Source organism: Homo sapiens, chromosome 12 (genome assembly GCF_000001405.40).
Source record: "Homo sapiens chromosome 12, GRCh38.p14 Primary Assembly".
Lineage (NCBI taxonomy): Eukaryota > Metazoa > Chordata > Mammalia > Primates > Hominidae > Homo > Homo sapiens.
In genome coordinates, this window is record NC_000012.12 from 48,852,914 (window position 1) to 48,872,813 (window position 19,900).

The window sequence follows — 19,900 nt, forward strand, 5'->3', positions numbered from 1 at the left end:
TTTTGCTTCTTTCTTCCCCCAGATTCCCCTACTTCAGTCTTCCACTGAGTTTTGTTGTTGCTGTTGTTGTTGTTGTTGATGTTGTTGTTGTTGTTTTAACCTCAAATCGTAAGTTCACTTTGTGTTTCTCTTTGGTCTTATGGGTTCATAACTCTTTCCCTCAAAACAAAACAAAACATTGCAGTTGCGGAAACGGTTTAGATAACCAGAAGTATCTCGGACCTCCCTTCCCATTTTGCCAGCAGCAGGTTTGTTGCTTCAATTCCACATGGCTGTAGGTCTGCCTTTTCTCTCTGAATATGCCCAAGCTCTCAAGCAGAGCCTCAGGATAGACCCAAGTAATCCTAAAGCCCTGAGCATCACGTACAATGGCCCAAAGTAACCCTCGGAGACACACACTTCTCTTAGAACCTGCAGCCTTTCACCTCCCAGCTTCTACTCCAGAGAGAACGCAAGGGAAAGAAGAGAGCTCTGAGATCTGTTAGGTGTAATTCACCACAAAAGCACGAGAGGGCGCTCGACTCACAGATTCACAGATTAAACTAAGAATCAGACCAACCATGGTAGGCCAGAATCTTCAAAAACTGCAGCCACTTTTTATTGAGAATCTTCTAAGTGCTCAGCTCTGGGCTGGACACTTAACCTACCTTATTTGTTTTACTTAGTTCTCATAGCAGTATGAGATGAGTGCTATCTCCATTTTACTGGTAAGGAGATTGTGGCCCAGAAAGAGTAATTATGCCTTCAAAGGCCACATAGTTAAAAGAATGGGCCAGGTGAGGTGGCTCATGCTTGTATCTCAGCACTTTGGGAGGCCAAGACAGGAGGACTGCTTGAGCCCAGGAGGTCGAGGTCGCAGTGAGCCATGCTCGTGCCACTGCACTACAGCCTGGGTGACAGAGCAAAACCCTGACTGGAAAAAAAAAAAAAAGAAAGAAAGAAAAAAGAAAAGAAAAGAATGGAGCCAAAATTCAGGTTCATTTAACTTCAGAGTCCATTACCTTTCCCCATTTTCAGGCTGCCATCTCAACTCTCTTTAAATTGAGCTCCTGGAGGGTGATAAAGCTTGTCCCAGTTCATAGTGGCAGAGTTCCTCTAGTACTTGTGCGCACATCTCATGACACATGTAAGACATTGGGCTTCAAGGATACTTGTTATTTGTCTTGCCCCACTAGTTCTCTCACAAACATGAATCTTTGTTTTCTTATTTGTTTGTATTTTTATTTTATTTTATTTATTTATTTATTTTTGAGATGGAGTCTCGCTCTGTCGCCAAGCTGGAGTGCAGTGGTGCAATCTCGGCTCACTGCAATCTCCACCTCCCTGGTTCAAGCGATTCTCCTGCTTCAACCTCCCAAGTAGCTGGGATTACAGGCACATGCCACCACACCCAGCTAATTTTTGTATTTTCAGTAGGAACGGGGTTTCATCATGTTGGCCAGGATGGTCTCGATCTCCTGACCTCGTGATCCACCTGCCTCGGCCTCCCAAAGTGCTGGGATTACAGGCGTGAGACTCCACACCTGGCTTATTTACTTATTTATTTTTGAGACCGGGTTTCACTTTGTTGCCCAGGTTGAAGTGGAGTGGCACAAACAGCTCACTGCAGCCCTGACCTGGGCTCAAGTGATCCTCCTGCCTCAGCCTCCCAAGTAGCTGGGACCACAGGTGCACCCCATCATGCCTGGCTAATCGTTTTACTTTCTGTAGAGACAGGGTCTTGCAATGTTGTCCAGTTTGGTCTCAAACTCCTGGCCTCAAGCAATCCGCCCGGCTCGTCCTCCCAAAGTGCTAGAACTACAGGCACCAGTCACCACACCTAAACCATCATCTTTGGAGACAGAGACAGAGGGATGGTGTTCTAGTAAGAACCATAACTGGAGATACCTATTTAGGTACAACATGCCTACCAGTAAGGGGTCCATGGGATTTTGGTGAACAGTGAGTTCTGGTTTGAATCTTGGCTCAATTGCTTACTAGTACTGTGATCTTGTGCAAATTATATGGCATCTCTGGCTTTTCTCTTTCCTCATTACAAAACAGAGATAATAATACCACTTCCCTCACAGGACAGGACAGCAGAGCAAGTTAGAGTGCATGATGTGAAGCCAGATTGCCTGGATTTGTATCCATGTTCAACCACTTCCTAGCTGTGTGACCTTGTGCACGTTACCTAATCTCTCTGAACCTCGGTCTTCTTTTCTGTAAAATGAAGTAGATAGCGGCGGGGCGCCGTGGCTGACACCTGTAATCCCAGCACTTTGGGAGGCCAAGGTGGGTGGATCACCTGAGGTCGGGAGTTCGAAACCAGCCTGACCAACATGGAGAAACCTCGTCTCTACTAAAAAAACAAACAAACAAACAAACAAAAACAGAATTAGCCGGGCATGGTAGCACATGCCTGTAGTCCCTTGGGAGGCTGAGGCAGGAGAATCACTTGAACCCAGGAGGCAGAGGTTGCGGTGAGCCAAGATCGTGCCATTGCACTCCAGCCAGAGTGAAACTCCGTCTAAAAAAAAAAAAATAGCACCTCATAGGCTCATAGGGTTATCACAGGAATAAATAACATAGAAAGAACTCGTAAGTGGGGCCGGGCACCATGGTTTATGCCTGTAATCCCAGCACTTTGGAAGGCCGAGGCAGGAGGATCACTTGAGCCCAGAAGTTCAAGACCAGCCTGGGCAACATGGTGAAACCCCATCTCCACAAAAAATAGACTACTACTGTGGTACTCCTGTAGTCCTAGCTACCCAGGAGGCTGAGGTAGGAGGGTCAGGAGGGTGATCAGGACGGTGAACCAGGAGGGTGAGGTTGCAGTGAGCAGTGGTCATGCCACTGTACTCCAGCGTGGGCGACAGAGTGAGACCCTGTCTCAAAAAAAAAAAAAGAAAAATCTCGTAAGTGCCCCGACCCATAGTAAACATTTAACAAATGTTAGCTCTTATCATTTATGAGTCTAAATGTGATCATGTAAAGCCCTCAACACAGTGCACAGTGCTGAACACTCATTAAGTACATGCTAACTTTATTTATTTATTTATTTATTTAGAGATGGAGTCTCCCTCTTTTGCCCAGGTTGGAGTGCAGTGGCGCAATCTTGGCTCACTGCAACCTCTGCCTCCCGGGTTTAAGCGATTCTCCTGCCTCAGCCTCCCGAGTAGTTGGGATTACAGGCACGTGCCACCATGCCCGGCTAATTTTTGTATTTTAGTAGAGATGGGGTTTCACCGTGTTAGCCAGGATGGTCTCGATCTCCCGACCTTGTGATCCACCTGCCTCAGCCTCCCAAAGTTCTGGGATTACAGGCTTGAGCCACCGCGCCTGGCCTAGTACATGCTAACTTTATTTCTGGCACTAGCACTACACTATGGCACTTGGAAAACAAGAGCTATAAGTCACTGAGAAAGGAAGTTAAGAGTTAAGGCCCCTGAGCTGCCATCAGTAGGCATCGGAATTGGAAGGTCATGAAGGCAAATGTCACCTCTCCTTGAACTCAGAGGAGACCAGAATCCCAGGAGCCTCCCCCAGCTTTGGCTTAGTCTGTCCACCTTCTATGTGGGGTGGAATCTCAGCAGCTTGGATCCTCTACTGATGATTTCATCCAACCTTTTTCTCTCCTCTAGACTCTCCAGGGCAGTGGTTCTCAACCAGAATTTTTCCACAGGGGCCATTTAGCAACGTCTGGAGACATTTTTGGGTGTGATAGCTGGAGAGTGGGGTGCTGTCTTCTAGCATCCACCAGATCAGGGACACTGCTAAACATCTTGGGCTGCATAGGACAGTCCCTCACAACAAAGCATTATCCAGTCCAAAATGTCAATAGTTCCAGGGTTGAGAACCCCTGCACCCCTGCTCTCGGGCTAAGGAGCCCTTCCTTGGTTTAGTAGGTCTTGGGTGGGGCTAGGGCAGGGGGATGGGGGAAGAGAGAAGCTCCTTCTTGGAGGAGCTGGGGAATGGTGGAGGCAGCCCCTCTGCAACCCACAGAAAGGGTCCCAGGACAGCTTTTCTCTCATTATCATCAACCAAAGGGCTCAAGCACGGTGGCTCATGCCTGTAATCCCAGCTCTTAGGGAGGCAGAGATGTGAGGATAGCTTGAGCCCAGGAGTTTGAGACCTGCCTGAGCAATATAGCGAGACCCTGTTCTCCACAAAAAGGAAAAAAAAAAAAGACCAAAAAAAAAAAATACCAATTGTAACAACTAAAGAAAACAGAAAAAAATACGGAGCCAAATTCTTTATATGTATTATATTTTTCATTAATAAATAGGTTTTCTTCATTAAACACAGAACATATAACAGATTGAAACACTCCCCCCCTCCCCCCAATTCCAAAGACAAGAGTCTATAAAACAAATGCCAGCTGTACTACCCTAAGGGCAGAAAAAGTCTGGTGACCCCCACCCAGCCCTGCCCCTGCAGCACCACCACCCCCACACTCTGCAAGAGAAGGGGGTCTGGGGCTTCTCCCTTGGACCCTGGGGACTTAGGTGAGAAGCATGTGAATGTATGATGTCACCTCTCCATGAGGCATGGGCTATGCAAAGATGAGGTTTCCTTCTCATTGGCTCTGACCAGCTCCTGCACTTCCGATTGCAGTTACGAAGCACCTGGGCTAAGCCCCCAAGGGAGCTGCCGCTCCACTTCCCCACTCTCCGTTGCTGCCTCCTTAGAGGGGAAGGGAAGGGCTCAGGGACCCCTCCCATCCCCTGACCTGCATGGAAACGCTGTGTGGAAGAGGCATGAAGCTGAAGGTGAGGCTGCTGTAGGCCCCCAAGCCCATGAGGCCAGCATGCCCCCCGTCCCCCACAGCTTTCCTTCCTCTGGAGCGGGGGGGGCACTGGGGTAGTCGCCCCCTCCAAAATCTAGTGCCTGGCTTGGGGTATGATGGTTCTCTCTCAGCGTCAGGTCCTCATGCCGGGCCTGGCTCCTTCCTCGCCCCATTCCTGTCTCCTTCCAAGCCCTCACCGTGGCCATCTGAAAAACTCATGTCCAGTGTCCTAAATTGTCTCATCCTCCCTCTCCCCGTGCCTCTGCACCCCAAGGGAGGAAGTAGGGGGTTGTCTCCCCCCTCCAATTTCCACTTCACATAATGGAACAGCTTTTGGCCTTTTCCTTCTTGAAGGTAGAAGAGATGAGTTCAGAGCGACTGGGGAGGTGGAGCAGTCGTTTGGAGAGGCTTCGGACAGGGCTCTTCTGGGGCAGTGGGCTAGGCTTGTTCAGACACAGCATGGATGCCGTCCGAAAGATGCTGTGGATGCTCTTTTCTGAGGTGAAAGCTGAGCCTTCCAGGTAGATTTCTGCACCCAGCTGCTTTGCTATTGCACAACCCTGCAGGAGGGGGTGAGGGCATTAATGCAGTGGGCCAAAATGGCTCTGGGACGCTGCCTCTGTGCGTCACTCCCCAGGGCCACTCCAGAGGGGACCCAGCTGCCAGTCTCCAAACACCACCCTCTGCAGATTATTCGATTATCTTTTCTTTTTTTTTTTTTTTTTTGGCATACACCCTGTCTGATGATGCCTCTTTTTCTTAAGACGATGCCTGACTGCACATTATAAATCATCTGGAATACTCTTAAAACTATATTGATGCCAAACTAAATTAGAATTTCTGGGGATAGCTGGGGCAGTGGCTAGTGCCTCTAATCCCAGCTACTCAGGAGGCTGTGATGGGAGGATCACTTGAGGAGGCCAGGAGTTCAAGACCAGCCTAGGTGGCCGGGCGCGGTGGCTTACACCCATAATCCCAGCGCTTTGGAATTACAAAAATAAATCTCAAAAATAAAGATAATAAAATAATAATAAACACTTTTAAAAAATGTTTAAAAATTCACTGGAAGTGGGCACACAACTATAGTCTCAAATACTAGAGAGGATCCCTTGAGCCCAGGAGTTCTGCACTGTAGTGAGCTAGGATCACACCACTGCACTTCATTCTGGGTGACAGAGTAAGACCCTGTCTCTGGAAAAAAAAAAAAAAAAAAAAGGAAAAGGAAAAAAAAATTCTGGGTATAGAGCCAAGGCATTAGTATTCTTCTTTTTCTTTCTTTTCTTTTTTTTTTTTTTTTGAAACAGTCTCGCTCTGTTGCCCAGGCTGGAGTGCAGTGGCGCGATCTCGGCTCACTGCAAGCTCTGCCTCCCGGGTTCACACCATTCTCCTGCCTCAGCCTCCCGAGTAGCTGGGACTACAGGCACCCGCCAACACGCCTGGCTAATTTTTTGTATTTTTAGTAGAGATGGTGTTTCACCATGTTAGCCAGGATGGTCTTGATCTCCTGACCTTGTGATCTGCCCGCCTCAGCCTCCCAAAGTGCTGGGATTACAGGCGTGAGCCACCGCGCCTGGCCGGTATTAGTATTCTTAAGAGCTCCCCAGGTCAGGTGCAGTGGAGGCCAAGGCAGGTGGATCACCTGAGGTCAGGAGTTCAAGACCAGCCTGGCCAACATGGTGAAACCCCATCTCTACTAAAAATAACAAAAATTAGCTGGGCGTGTTGGCAGGCACCTGTAATCCCAGCTACGCAGGAGGCTGAGGCAGGAGAATCTCTTGAACCCGGGAGGCAGAGGTTGCAGTGAGCTGAGATCGCACCACTGCACTCCAGCCTGGGTGACAAGAGCGAAACTCAGTCCCCCAACCCTATGCTCTCATGCACATAAGAAATTATCCAGGGGTCTTATAAAAAATGCAGATTCCAGGCCAGGTGTGGTGACTCACAACTGTAATCCCAGCACTTTGGGAGGCCAAGGTAGGAGAATCACTTGATGTCAGGAGTTCAAGAACAACCCCGGAAACATACTGAGACCTTGTCTCTACAAAAAATGTTAAAAGATTAGCTAGGCGTGGGGCCCATACCTATAGTCCCAGCTACTAGGGAGACAGGAGGGAGGATCACTTGAGTCCGGGAGGTCAAGGCTGCATAAACAACTATTGTGCCACTGCACTCCAACCTAGGCAGATCACACTTTTTTTTCTTGAAATAGAGTCTCACTCTGTTGCCCAGGGATTACAGGTGTGCACCACCATACCTGGCTAATTTTTTGTATTTTTTGTAGAGACGGGGTTTCACCACGTTGGCCAGGCTGGTCTTGAACTCCTGACCTGAAGTGATCCACCTGCCTCCGTCTCCCAAAGTGCTGGGATTACAGGCATGAGCCACCACACCTGGCCTTTTTTTTTTTTTTTTTTCCTTGAGACAGAGTCTCTCACTCTGTCGCCCAGGTGGGAGTGCAGTGGCACAATCTCAGCTAACTGCAACCTCCATCTCCCAGGTTCAAGCGATTCTCCTGCCTCAGCCTCCTGAGTAGCTGGGATTACGGGTGCATGCCACCACACCCAGCTACTTTTGGTATTTTTAGTAGAGACAGCGTTTTGCCATGTTGGCCAGGCTAGTCCTGAATTCCTGAGCTCAAGTGATCCATCGGCCTTGGCCTCTCAAGTGCTGGGATTACAGGCGTGAGCCACCGCACCCAGTGCCCCTCCTCCTTTTCTTTTTTTTTGAGACAGGGTCTCACTCTGTCACTCAGGCTGGAGTGCAGTGGCATGATCACAGCTCCTTGCAGCCTCAACCTCCTGGGCTCAAGCAGCGGTCCTCCCACCTCAGCATCCTGAGTAGCTGTGACTACAGGCACTCACCACCACACCCAGCTATTTTTTTTTTTTTTTTTTTTTTTTTGGTAGAGACAGTCTTGCTTTGTTGCCCAGGCTTATCTCAAACTCCTGGGCTCAAGCTATCCTCCTGCCTCAGCCTCCCAAAGTTCTGGAATTACAGGCATGAGCCACCTTGCACCTGGCCTCTTTTTTTTGTGTGTGTGAAATTCTAACAAACACCTCTAATGATTCTAACGCAGGTGGTCAGAATACAATCTTAGAAATGTGGGCACACACAGGAATAACTCACCTGCTAACTGACAGCATACATCTGGGTAAGCAGGTGCCCACCACCTCTCTCCAGGTGACTCATTTGCTAATTATAACAGCAATTCTCTCTTGCCATAGTGGAAGAATTTGAGCCAGGGCCATATTTCAAGCTGTCTGCCTCTAGCCTTCCTCACTCCACCCCACGACATGCACTTGCATGCGCACACACCTGCTCATAGGAGATGGGCGCCTGCTTCTGGTGGGACAGCTCCATCAGAGTACTCAGGTCTGTTCGCAGGTCTGTCTTGCAGCCAATGAGCAAAACGCGGGTGCTGGGACAATAATCTAGGATTTCTGTCCTCCACTGAGGGGTGGAGCAGGAAGAAGGGTAGGAGAAGGAGGAAGGAAGGAGAGTTAGTGGCAGACAGATACCAGGAGAAGCTTGGCTGGCAACGTCACACACATCACCTCACTCATCACCAGCCCAGTCCTCCCTCTGAGTCACAGCATCACCGTTGCACTAATTACATCATTTTCCTGCCCATGAGGCCTTTGGGGCCCCCAGAGTGCTGACCCAGGAGCCTGTTCCCCCAGTCTATGGCTCAGTCACCAGAGAGGGCACAAGGGCAATTCTCCTCCCACTCTCTGCCAACCATATAGGCATGGATCTGCCCCCTCACCCCAAAGGGCCTCACAAGTCCAGAATGCCAGGGGGAAGCCAACCAGTCTCTTCTCAAGGGAAGAACATGATCCCAGCATCTTCTATACTATGCTAGATACACAAGGTTTCCTAGGACTCCTCAGCATTGGTGGATCTGCCCAGACCTAAGCATTTCATACCAGCAGCTCAGCTCAGACCTGCCTGGCTTGCCCATTCTCAGTGGGACTGGGATCAGGGTCTATAGAAGCTGCCTCCAAAAGGTCCCATGCCTGACCCTCATACCGTATCACCTAAAGGTTCTCTGACTCTCCGTCCTCTGCTTCCTGAGTCTTCAATACCACCCTCCCTTGCGGGGCCTCTGGCAAGGCAGCATGGGATAACAAAAAGGGCGGGAGGCAGTGGGGTAAGGAGACCCAAGTTCCAGTCCCAGAGCTGTAGCTAATGGTGTGGCCTTGGGCAAATCTCTTCCTTCCCTGGCTTCCATTTCTTGATGTTATACAAGAGGGCATTCATGACAAGGTCCCGATTCCTTCTTGGTCCTCATGCTGAGTTAGAGATTAGAGAGTTGATCTAGTCTTACCTTCTTGAGTGCGCTGTCCACTGTCTCTGGACGGCTGATGTCAAAACATAGTAATACTGCATCCGAGTCGCTGTAGCAGAGTGGACGGACATTATCGTAGTAGGGAGATCCTGGTGTAGGCCAGAAAGAGCTGATGGTGAGCCATGGTGTTTTCCTTCCCCAATAGGCCTAAGCCCTAAAGCCCTGGGAATACCATCCTCAATCCCTGAGGATCCACCCATCTCCCAGGGGGAATGTACTGCGGCTGGAAGCTTGGGACCTGACTGTCTGCCAGAAGGTCATGAAAGAATATCATCCCCCTTAGTCCAGAAAAAGGGAAAGAAGACAAAATAAAGTGGGTGGAGTATAATTTGGCCCTGTTTGGGTCTCCTACAGCAGGCTTAATTGGAGATCTACTAGTTTTCTGAGTCCCAGAAGATGCTTCCAGCCCTGCAGAGAGACAGCACTTATTTCAGGGCTTCTCTCTTCTAGAGCCTGCCTGCTGCCCAACTTCACTCCCTTCTGCTCCAGGGTCTCCCCAGTGAAGAGAAAAACCTCCTTGTTACATAACCTGCCTGCTGCTTTTCCATGGGGTCAGAACTTTAGGAGGCTAGCAGGGGAGGGAGAGAATCAAGGGTTCAGTGCCCCACTTCTCCACCCACCCAGATCGGCTTACACTGAAAAGGGCAAAAGGAAAGCTGTACCTCCTGACCGCCCCACATCTCAGGAAGGCAGTCTCAAAGACAGCAGCACCGATGGCTGGGGATTTAGAGGCTAGAGCAAGAGTCCTTCGTTGGAAGGGAAATAGGCAATGCAGACCCAGGTGGTCCCATATGGGAGAATGCTAGGAGCTGAGCCTGCCCCCTCCACCCTGGGGAAGGAGCAGTAGCGGATTTGGAACCCAGACAATCCGTGCTCAGAATAGCAAGCAGCCCCTCTCCCTGCACCACAATCGCCATGGAAACTGGGGGGAATCCAAGCTGGTGGGGGGATGTTGGTCATTAAAAAAAGGAATACAGGGGAGTTGGGATAGCTGCCTGCTCCTTCAGCAAGCCTCCTCCATCCCTTTCTGAGGTGGGGTCTTACCACTGCAGCACTGAGGAGCGGAAGCACTGCAGCACTGGGGAAGGGGGAGGGGAGGAGGCCTCCATTTTGGCTCCAAGCAATCCCCCTCCCCTAAGACTAGCAAGTAAATAATGGGAACAGGGTCAACCCTGAGCCCAACATTGGGAAACCCTATCCCACACACCATGGCCACTTCCTCCTTCCTTATGGGAACCTAATCTGAAAGAGGGAGTTTGAGAATAACTGACAGCCTTTATCCTTTCGGAAATTGGGGGTGGGGGTGTGACACAGGGAACAGAGACTACACTTGCTGATTTTCCATGATCTGGTTTGGGATTTGAGGGCTGCATTCTGACTGTCAAAGGAGGGAGGAGGTGGGGGGAGGGCGTTTGGGCGGTGGTAGTGAAAAGAGATGAGCTGCAGTAAGATTCTGGGAAGATTGGAAGGTGGGAGGGTACAGCAGATGAAAAACCAAAAATTATACATCATGCCATCAAGCTGCATTCTAGCCCAATCTTGCCAGCATAGCACAGCCCAGGAGAACCAGAACGCTGCCTCCCAAGCCCTGAAACTGCAACAGGGAAAAGCATACCAGATTGGGGAATTTTTGTTTGGGGAGGAAAGGCTCATTGTCTGTCTAACCATTCCCTAGCCCCAATCTTTTCAGACCTCAGAATTAGAGCATGGGAACAACAGCTGTTGAAGGAGCAGGACAGCATATTTATTATATGTAGCAGGAAACACCTAGTGATTTACGGTCCCTTTTTAAACTCAGCCTGAATATGCATTTTTGGGGAGGGGTGGATTTTATTTTCTTTCTCTTATTCCCGGCTTTTACTCCTTAATTATGACTCTGAGCCAGTCTATTGAAAAAGGTCTGGGGTAAAGAGATAATGGGAAGGGGTCAGAATCAAGGCAAAGGATAGCCTAGCACTAAGGGCTTGGGGCTGAGAGGCTGGAAAAACATTGTTTCTACATTCTAGAGAGACAGGGCATATTCTACCTCACCCCAGTAGAGGGAAAACAGTCAGAGCCAACCTCCCCTCTGCCCTGCCGGCCACTATTCACAACTGACTATGCCCTATATTAAGCCATCTCCCCCAACTTCCAAAACATCGATGATGCATTGCTTCATCCCCGAGCTGCAGCGGTGTGACGAGTGGGGCTGAGCTGCGGCAGGAGGACAGCAGTGGCCCAAGATGGAATGCAGGAGACAAAACTGAGTCTGAGCAACCTTTCCCCAAAGCAGACTTGTCTCTCCGCCCCAACCACGCTGCCTCCAGCAGCACTGCCTCTTGCCTCTTATTTGGCTTTGCTCTGGGGAAGTAAAAGGTGTGTGTGTGTGTGTGTGTGTGTGTGTGTGTGCGCGCGCGCGCGTGTGTGTGCATGTGTGTACGCGTGCATGTTGGGTGGTAGGGAATGGAAATGGAGAAGTCCTGTTTTACTGCCCACCCCCAGGACTATTCATGGGTCCCTTCACCTCACCATCCCAGCCCTCTAAAGGGTGGAACCAGACCCAGGGAAGAGAGTGGCTCCTGGGGTTCACCCACTCTGCACCCTTGGACCATGCAACTGAGTCCACCAACTGTCAGCCCTCCCCACAACTAATGAGTCTTCAGATCCTCTTTTTTCACTTCTCCCCACCAAAGGGGAAAACAATTTCTAAAAGACAGCAGCTACACAGCAGACCAGTAGGGGTGGGAAAGGGGTATTTGGAGCAGAATTCTTACCTGAGGTATCCCAGAGACTAAGCTCCACCCTCTGTTCCTCTGTCTCCAAACAGGCTGTGTAATTTTCGAACACGGTGGGCACATAGGTCTGTGAAAAGAGAGGAAACATTCACCCCATGCACCCCTACCCTCAGATCCCCTGGTTAGTGCTGGCTACACACGCACTCACCAGAGAGACAGTAAAGTCACAGGAGACAAGAAACCAGAGGAGATGCCTGGGGCAGGAGGGAAGGGACTGTGGAGGACCAGGCACTTTGCTCTGCAGCAGTGAGAAATGTGAATGACACCCCCCCACACCACCACACCAGGGGTAAGCCCCCCATATCCTAGGCGATCAGGGACACACACACACACAGATTCCTCCCATCCCCAGATTTGTGTTTCCCAATTTGAGAGAGCCACAGGCCAAAGCCAATCCTAGCTCATCTCCTCTCAAACCCCTCCCGGCCAGGTGAACAGAGGGGCTGCAGAAGCCTGCCTGAAGGCACAGGCATAGAGCCTTTGAGGAGCAGGTGAGCGGATAGGCAGGGATTACGTCAAGAAGAAACCCCAGACTTTCAAATGCCTCCAGTGCCCTCACCTGAGAGCAGACTCCAGGGACGCAGGAAGGTGGAGGGGATCTGATGGGTCCTCTGGGTGAAGAGGTGAGGAGGAGCCAGCGGGGCGGCAGAAGTGGAACAGGTCTCAGGGGAAGCTAAGGCAGGGCAGTCCTCCAGCCAAAAAGCAGCTGAGGATGGTAAAGCCTCAGAAAGCGGCTGAGGATGGGCTGGGGCTGGGGGAGCCACGTCTCCTGAGCAGGTGGAAATCTACCCCAAGGCGGGCAGGCAGGGAGAAAAGCCGGCCAGCGGGCGGGCGGGCAGCTCACCTCTGGATAGCAATCCTTCGCTAACACTTGCAACATCGCGGTCTTCCCACACTGCACGTCCCCGACCAGAACGAGCTTACATCTGGCCACGACTGGCTGGGGGGCCCGTCTCTCCTTCATGGTTGCAGTGTCCGCGGGACTTGAACTTCGATTCAGAAGGGAGGGTTGCGCCAGGTGCGTCTCAGCACGCCAATCAAGCCAGATTCCCTGCCTCCCTCCAACTGAGGAGGAGGCCGGCACAGCCGCCTTTTATTTTTCTGGCTGAGCCAATCACAAGAGGAGGCGGACTCTGTTACGCCCAATCCCTGAGGTGGGATTCCCTCCAGCAGCCAATGGATCTGAGGATCTGAGTCAGCGCCCCCTTCCTCCCTTCTCTTTCTCTTAAAGCTGCACCGTTGTTTCCCCCTGAAAGGGGATTCCCAGGTTGTTTTGCATTTGTATTAGGAAGTGGAAAGGGTACTGGAAGCAAAATGAAATGATCTGGAGTGTCTACCAATAAGTGTCAGAAAAACAAACTAGCTATGGAAGCAGGAAGTGAGGTCAGGCTGGAGTTGCAGGGACTGTCCCGGGTGGGTTACAAAAGCAGGACCTGCTTAGACTATAGACAGGTGTGTGTGTGTGTGTGTGTTTTGGAGGAGTAGGGGATGGGGGAGGTGGCCCAGAACTTCTCTGACATTTTTTTTCTTTTTTTTCCTTACATCTTTTGTTTTAAATAGAGACAGGGGTCTCACCATGTTATCCAGGCTGGTCTTGAACTTCTGGGCTCAAGCAATCCGCCTGTCTCAGCCTCCCAAAGTGCTGGGACTACAGACATGAGCCACAGCGCCTGGCCTGATGTCTGACTTTTTTGTTTTTTCTAATTCCCATCCAAACCAGTTCTTACTTCCCTTTATTTCCCCTCCCAATATCAGCTCCTGCTGTACCTCTTTTATTTATTTATTTATTTATTTATTTATTTATTTATTTATTTATTTATTTATTTTGAGATGGAGTTTCGCTCTTGTTGCCCAGGCTGGAGTGCAATGGCACGATCTCAGCTCACTGCAACCTCCATCTCCCGGATTCAAGCGATTCTCCTGCCTCAGCCTCCCGAGTAGCTGGGATTACAGGCATGCACCACCATGCCCAGCTAATGTTGTATTTTTAGTAGAGACGGGGTTTCTCCATGTTGGTCAGGCTGGTCTCGAACTCCCGACCTCAGGCGATCCGCCCGCCTTGGCCTCCCAAAGTGCTGGGATTATAGGCGTCAGCCACCGTGCCCGGCCTGTGCCCCTTTTAAAGCCTTCTCTTCTTCAAGAATCACCTTCACCACCAAAGACAGAGAGAGAGAAAGAGAAAGAGAAAACTTTCTAGAGTCATCCATAAAAAAAACACACAGCACCTGACCCAGTGATGGGCAGAGAGAAATGAGGGACTCTGGCAAGTGGGGGTGGGAGAGAGGAAGAAGACAAAGCAAACACAGTCACTGTTTGGCCAGACAGCCTCTCACCCATGCCTAGCAGAAGCTGCTTAGGGGTGTTTGTTCTGCGGCCTAGGCTCAGCTTCCTGGATGAATCAGGCACAGGTCCAGTTCCATGTTAACGCCCACTGAAACTGACGCACTAATGTGTGTCACCTGGTTAAAGTCCAGACTGGGCCCAGGATTTTGGGATTAGAAGCTGGAGGACAATCTAAGGTTGAGATGAACTACATAAATTTTTTTTTTTTTTTTTTTTGAGATGGAGTCTCGCTCTGTTACCCGGGCTGGAGTGCAGTGGCTTGATCTCAGTTCACTGCAACCTCTGCCTCCCGGGTTCAAGCAATTCTCCTGTCTCAGCCTCCCGAGTAGCTGAGACTACAGGCGCACGTCACCATGCCTGGCTAATTTTTGTATTTTCAGTAGAGACAGGGTTTCACCATATTGGTCAGGCTGGTCTCAAACTCCTGACCTTAAGTGATCCACCCACATCGGCCTCCCAAAGTGCTGGGATTACAGGCGTGAGCCACCGCGCCCAGCCGAGCTTCATAACTTCTTAACAGCCCTGACTGATGGGGCCCCTGTATTTTGGGGAGCCTCTACTAGACAGAACTATGGGCTGTCCACAGCTTAAATAAACCACTGATTGTCCAGGAATCAAGACCGTACAAATAAGGGCTCCTGGAGATTTGTGATTGAAGGAAGACCAACTTTGGGCAAAATTGAGAGTAGTCCCTTTCCCTTGTCAAGCCCAGTGTCTCCTGGGCCTTGTTTCATCTGAGCTTTACTTTTTTTTTTTTTTTATACAGAGTCTTGCTCTTTCACCCAGGCTGGAATGCAGTGCCACAATCTCGGCTCACTGCAAACTGTGCCCGCCGGGTTCAATCGATTCTCCTACCTCAGCCTCCCGAGTAGCTGGGATTACAGGTGCCTGCCACCACACCCAGCTAATTTTTGTATTTTGAGTAGAGATGGGGTTTCGCCATGTTGGCCAGGCTGGTCATAAACTCCTAACCTTAGGTGATCCACCTGCCTCGGCCTCCCAAAGTGCTGGGGTTACAGGCGTGAGCCACTGTGCCCCAGCCTGAGCTTTACTCTTAATTCACAGTTGTTGCTGCCCCACCCAGGGATAGTTTCCCTGTGATAAAGGATGCTTGAAAGCCTTTCACAGACCCAAAGGGACAGATCTCTAAGAATGAGATTTCTAGTGCCCACCACAGGCAGTAGGAGAGTGGATGTTGTTTTGAGAATACAGCCTAACCAGTGTTCCTCCAGTCAAACCTCGTCGTGGCTCTGGGGCCAAGGCCTATACCTGCTCTCCACCCATGTCCTAAGCTCCATTCACTTCCAGGGATGGGGAATGGCCTGAGGGAAACTTCAGGGTGGAAAGGCCAGATGTTACCATTAGCTGGCTGCCGTCTCTCCCAGGCTTTCTGAAGGTTTCTGCCCTTTATCTCCCCTCATCCTCCACCCTCAGATAATGTTCTGTGGATAGAATTTGTCCTCTTCTTGCCCTTTTCCAGCAGCCTGACAGCCTCTGTGAGCTGTCTATAAGTGGGGTTTGGGATAGTTCCAGGAACAGCTGTAAGATCATAGACTGCCTCAATCTGGAGTCCTTTCCCTCAGCCTGACCTTCTCCTTCTGTATCCTCCTGTCCCCTACCTTCAGTCTCATCTGGGCTTAGTTCTGGAAGCATCAGTAGAGTTCCTATGCATCCTCTTTTTTTTTTTTTTTTTTTCCGAGACAGAGTCTTGCTCTGTTGCTCAGGCTGGAGTGCAGTGGCACAATCTCCGCTGACTGCAACCTCCGTCTCCCGGGTTCAAGCGATTCTCCTGCCTCAGCCTCCTGAGTAGCTGGGATTACAGGCACGTGCCACGATGCCCAGCTAATTTTTGTATTCTTAGTAGAGACGACGTTTCCCCATGTTGGCCAGGCTGGTCTCAAATTCTTGACCTTGTGATCCGCCTGCCTCGGCCTCCCAAAGTGCTGGGATTACAGGCATGAGCCACCGTACCCAGTCCCCCATACATCCTCCTAACCCTTAACTGAGTTCCCTCCAATCACAACCCCACAGGTGTTAGCCTTCTCTCCATGTTCTCTACCAGCCTCCCCCTACACACACCATTCATCCACCACTCCAAATAAACTTTCAGAATAAGTAAAAATTGTTCCTGCTAAGCAAACAGCTTCTTCTGGCTTCTAAGAACATTGCCATTCCTGAGCTCCTCCAAGACAGAAATTCTGAGAGCTGGTGCCAACACTGATTCTTCCCTGGGTGGCTGCATTTCAGGGTCAAGTAGCAGAAGGCCCGAGCCATTATACAGAGCAGCCTCCACCATGGCTGAGGCCCAAGATGTGTCTCCAAGGATATTTTGTGGGTCATATGTTTATGAGTTTTGGTGGAAAGGGTGTTATGTGTGTGAAAGCGTGTGTGTTAGATCAGTGGGCAGGGAGGTAACAGGAAAAGGATGGAACTGAAGTTCAGCAGGTCTAGGCCTTGGACCTCGCTCTGCCTTTAACAAGCTGTGTGCCTTTGGGTAAGTTACTTCCCTCTCTGGGTGCCTATTTCCTTAAATGCAATGTGAGGGATTTAACTAGAGAAGAAGTTTTTAGATGTTATTTAGTTTATTTATTTATTTATTTTTTTGAGATAGAGTTTTGCTTTTGTTGCCCAGGCTGGAGTGCAATGGCACGATCTTGGCTCACCTCAACCTCGCCCTCCCGGGTTCAATCGATTCTCCTGTCTCGGCCTCCCAAGTAGCTGGGATTACAGGCATGTGCCATCACACCCAGCTAATTTTTGTATTTTTAGTAGAGACGGGGTTTCTCCATGTTGGTCAGGCTGGTCTGGAACTCGTGACCTCAGGTGATCCACCCACCTTGGCCTCCCAAAATGCTGGGATAACAGGCGTGAGCCAGCGTGGTTGGCCTAGATGTTATTATTATTATTATTATTTTAGCACTTAGATTCTCTCCTCCAAATTTGTTTAAACCTCTTTTAAATAACTTTATTTCAAACTCCATAGCCAAGACCAGGTGTTGTGGCTCACACCTATAATCCCAGGATTTGGGGAGGCTGAGGTGGGAGGATCACTTGAGCCCAGGAGTTCAAAACCAGCTTAGGCAATAGAGTGAGACCCCATCTCTACAAAAAAACTTTAAAAATCAAATAAAAGTCTGTAGCCAGATTAATACATTAAAGTGGCTCTTCCGGGCCAGGCGCAGTGGCTCACACCTATAATCCCAGCACTTTGGGAGGCCAAGGTGGGTGGATCATTTGAGGTCAGGAGTTCGAGACCAGCCTGGCCAACATGGTGAAACCTCATCTCTACTAAAAATACAAAAATTAGCCAGGCTGGTGGCGGGTGCCTGTAATCCCAGCTACTCAGGAGGGTGAGGCAGGAGAATAGCTTGAACCTCGGGAGGCAGAGGTTGCAGTGAGCTGAAATTGCGCCACTGCACTCAAGCCTGGGCGACCGAGGGAGATGCTGTCTCAAAAAAACAAACAAACAAACAAGCAAACAAACGAAAAAAGGAAAGGTGGCTCTTCCCTATCAAGATCAGAAAAATTTAAAACAAGGTTATAGTTGAAAACATTATGCCAAGGTGGAAGAAGCCAACCACAAAAGACCATATAGACTATGTCCATTTATATGAAATGTCCAGAATAGGCAAATCCGAAAAGACAGAAAGTAGGCTAATAGTTGCCTGGGTCTGTGGGGTTGAGGAGGAAATGGGGAGTGACTGAAAACCATCGAATTGTATAGTTCAAACTGGTGAATTTAGGGTAGGCACAGTGGTTCATGCCTGTAATCCAACACTTTGGGAGGCCAAGGCAGGCAGATCGCTGGAGCTCAGAAGTTCAAGACCAGCCTGGGCAACATGGTGAAACTCTGTATCTACAAAAAATACAAAAATTAGCTGGGCGTGGTGGCCTGTGCCGGTGGTCCCAGCTACTCCGAAGGCTAAGGAGGGAGGATTGCTTGAGCCTGGGGAGGTTGAGGCTGCAGTGAGCTGTGATCATGTCACCTCACTCCAGCCTGGGCAACTGAGTGAGACCCTGTCTCAAAATAAAATTTTAAAAGTAAAATAAAATAAAATAAAATAAAATAAAACTACTGGTCTGGATAATACCCTCTAGCACAAATATGTGTGTGTATACCACATGCTCAAAGTTCAGGGCTGCCCTATCTTTTTTGGTTCTGATTACTCTGATAAGTTCCCTATCTGGGACAGTGGCATAATATACAAAGATGTTCAGGGTTGTAACAAATTAAAATTCATGCTGACTTGTACTAGACAGTACACAAGCCCCATATTTTCTCTGCCCTAGGGATTCTTTGCAAAGAACCCCCAGGCACGCTGCCACCTGCATCTCCCAGAACAAGGCCCATTATCCCCTTCCCTTCATATGACGCAGGTGCTCCACTCCTCAGTCCTAAGCAATAACTTGGGATCTCAGGGGTCTCTGGTCCCTGGCACCTGGGAACACCTGACCTTTTGACTGCTGATCTTTTGACTGAGCACTCTAAGACACAGTCCTGCCTTGGGGGAGTTTACAGCTAAGCAGGGAGATAAGAAAGAAGCCGGCCAGGAGCAGTGGCTCACGCCTATAATCCCAGCACTTTGGGGGGCAGAGGCAGGTGGATTACTTGAGGTTAGGAGTTCAAGACCAGCCTGGCCAACATGGTGAAACCCGTCTCTACTAAAATACAAAAATTAGCCGGGCGTAGTGGCGCATGCCTGTAGTCTCAGCTACTGGAAGGCTGAAGCAGGAGAATCACTTGAAGCCAAGAGGCAGAGGTTGCAGTGAGCCAAGATCATGCCACTGCACTCCAGCCTGGGCAATAGAGTGAGACTCCCTCTCAAAAAGAAAAAAGAAAGAAAGAAAAATCTGCTAATTTTTTTTTTGAGACGGAGTTTCACTTTTGTTGCCCAGGCTGGAGTGGAATGGCATGATCTCAGCTCACTGCAACCTTTGCCTCCCGGGTTCAAGTGATTCTCCTGCCTCAGCCTCCCGAGTAGCTGGGATTACAGGCAGTTGTCACCACGCCTGGCTAATTTTGTATTTTTAGTAGAGACGGGGTTTCTCCTTGTTGGTCAGGCTGGTCTCAAACTCCCGACCTCAGGTGATCCACCCGCCTTGGCCTCCCAAAGTACTGGGATTACAGGCATAAGCCACCGTGACCGGCTAAAATATCTGTAAAAGCACTTCAAAGCCTGGGCGCGGTGGCTCACATCTGTAATCCCAGCACTTTGGGAGGCCGAGGCAGGCAGATCACCTGAGGTCAGGAGTTGGAGACCAGCCTGATCAACATGGTGAAACCCCGTCTCCACTAAAAACAAAAAATTAGCCAGGCGTGGTGACAATTGCCTGTAATCCCAGCTACTCGGGAGGCTGAGGCAGGAGAATCACTTGAACCTGGGAGGCAGAGGTTGCAGTGAGCCAAAATCATGCCATTGCACTCTAGCCTGGGTGACAGAGCGAGACTCCATCTCAAAAAAAACAAAAAACAAAACAAAAACTGGGTCTCAATTCGTCTCCCAGCCTAGAGTGATGCAGTGGCGAGATCATAGCTTACTACAGCCTTGAACCCTGGGGCTCAAGTGGTCCTCCCGCCTCAGCCTCCCAAAGTGCTGTGATTAGAGGTGGGAGCCATTGTGCCTGGCAGACTAATTTCAATAAGAACACATGCCATGGTGGAACTGT

General features: G+C 49.8%; 1 protein-coding gene across 1 annotated transcript, besides 6 other annotated features; it reads right to left on the reverse strand.

Moving 5' to 3' along the window:
- Window positions 175–384: an enhancer, noted in NCBI's record as "active region_6290". NCBI's record gives its function as "activates an Ori minimal core promoter by ATAC-STARR-seq in GM12878 lymphoblastoid cells {active_cell/tissue: GM12878}" and the evidence as "EXISTENCE:reporter gene assay evidence [ECO:0000049][PMID:35858748]".
- RND1 (Rho family GTPase 1) lies at window positions 4,232–12,957 on the reverse strand. The gene is made up of 5 exons (NM_014470.4): window positions 12,735–12,957; window positions 11,870–11,957; window positions 9,096–9,205; window positions 8,084–8,218; window positions 4,232–5,328 (listed from the first exon to the last, which is right to left on the reverse strand). The coding sequence occupies exons 1-5, from the start codon at window positions 12,852–12,854 to the stop codon at window positions 5,083–5,085; spliced, it is 699 nt and encodes a 232-aa protein (NP_055285.1). The 5' UTR covers window positions 12,855–12,957; the 3' UTR covers window positions 4,232–5,082.
- Window positions 4,616–4,685: an enhancer, noted in NCBI's record as "active region_6291". NCBI's record gives its function as "activates an Ori minimal core promoter by ATAC-STARR-seq in GM12878 lymphoblastoid cells {active_cell/tissue: GM12878}" and the evidence as "EXISTENCE:reporter gene assay evidence [ECO:0000049][PMID:35858748]".
- Window positions 6,693–6,987: an enhancer, noted in NCBI's record as "tiled region #11040; HepG2 Activating DNase matched - State 8:EnhW". NCBI's record gives its function as "activates a minimal TATA promoter and a strong SV40 promoter by Sharpr-MPRA in HepG2 cells {active_cell/tissue: HepG2}" and the evidence as "EXISTENCE:reporter gene assay evidence [ECO:0000049][PMID:27701403]".
- Window positions 6,693–6,987: a silencer, noted in NCBI's record as "tiled region #11040; K562 Repressive non-DNase unmatched - State 22:ReprW". NCBI's record gives its function as "represses a minimal TATA promoter and a strong SV40 promoter by Sharpr-MPRA in K562 cells {active_cell/tissue: K562}" and the evidence as "EXISTENCE:reporter gene assay evidence [ECO:0000049][PMID:27701403]".
- Window positions 12,771–12,890: an enhancer, noted in NCBI's record as "active region_6292". NCBI's record gives its function as "activates an Ori minimal core promoter by ATAC-STARR-seq in GM12878 lymphoblastoid cells {active_cell/tissue: GM12878}" and the evidence as "EXISTENCE:reporter gene assay evidence [ECO:0000049][PMID:35858748]".
- Window positions 13,151–13,280: an enhancer, noted in NCBI's record as "active region_6293". NCBI's record gives its function as "activates an Ori minimal core promoter by ATAC-STARR-seq in GM12878 lymphoblastoid cells {active_cell/tissue: GM12878}" and the evidence as "EXISTENCE:reporter gene assay evidence [ECO:0000049][PMID:35858748]".

What these genes read in the sequence shown, in the direction of transcription:
- RND1 (NM_014470.4), bottom strand. Translation starts at nt 12,854, where the DNA reads ATGAAGGAGAGACGGGCCCCCCAGCCAGTCGTGGCCAGATGTAAGCTC. An exon ending in TAGTCTCTGGGATACCTCAG is followed by an intron (nt 9,206 to 11,869) that starts GTAAGAATTCTG and finishes GGCCTACACCAG; the next exon opens with GATCTCCCTACTACGATAAT. An exon ending in TGGACAGCGCACTCAAGAAG is followed by an intron (nt 8,219 to 9,095) that starts GTAAGACTAGAT and finishes TCCACCCCTCAG; the next exon opens with TGGAGGACAGAAATCCTAGA.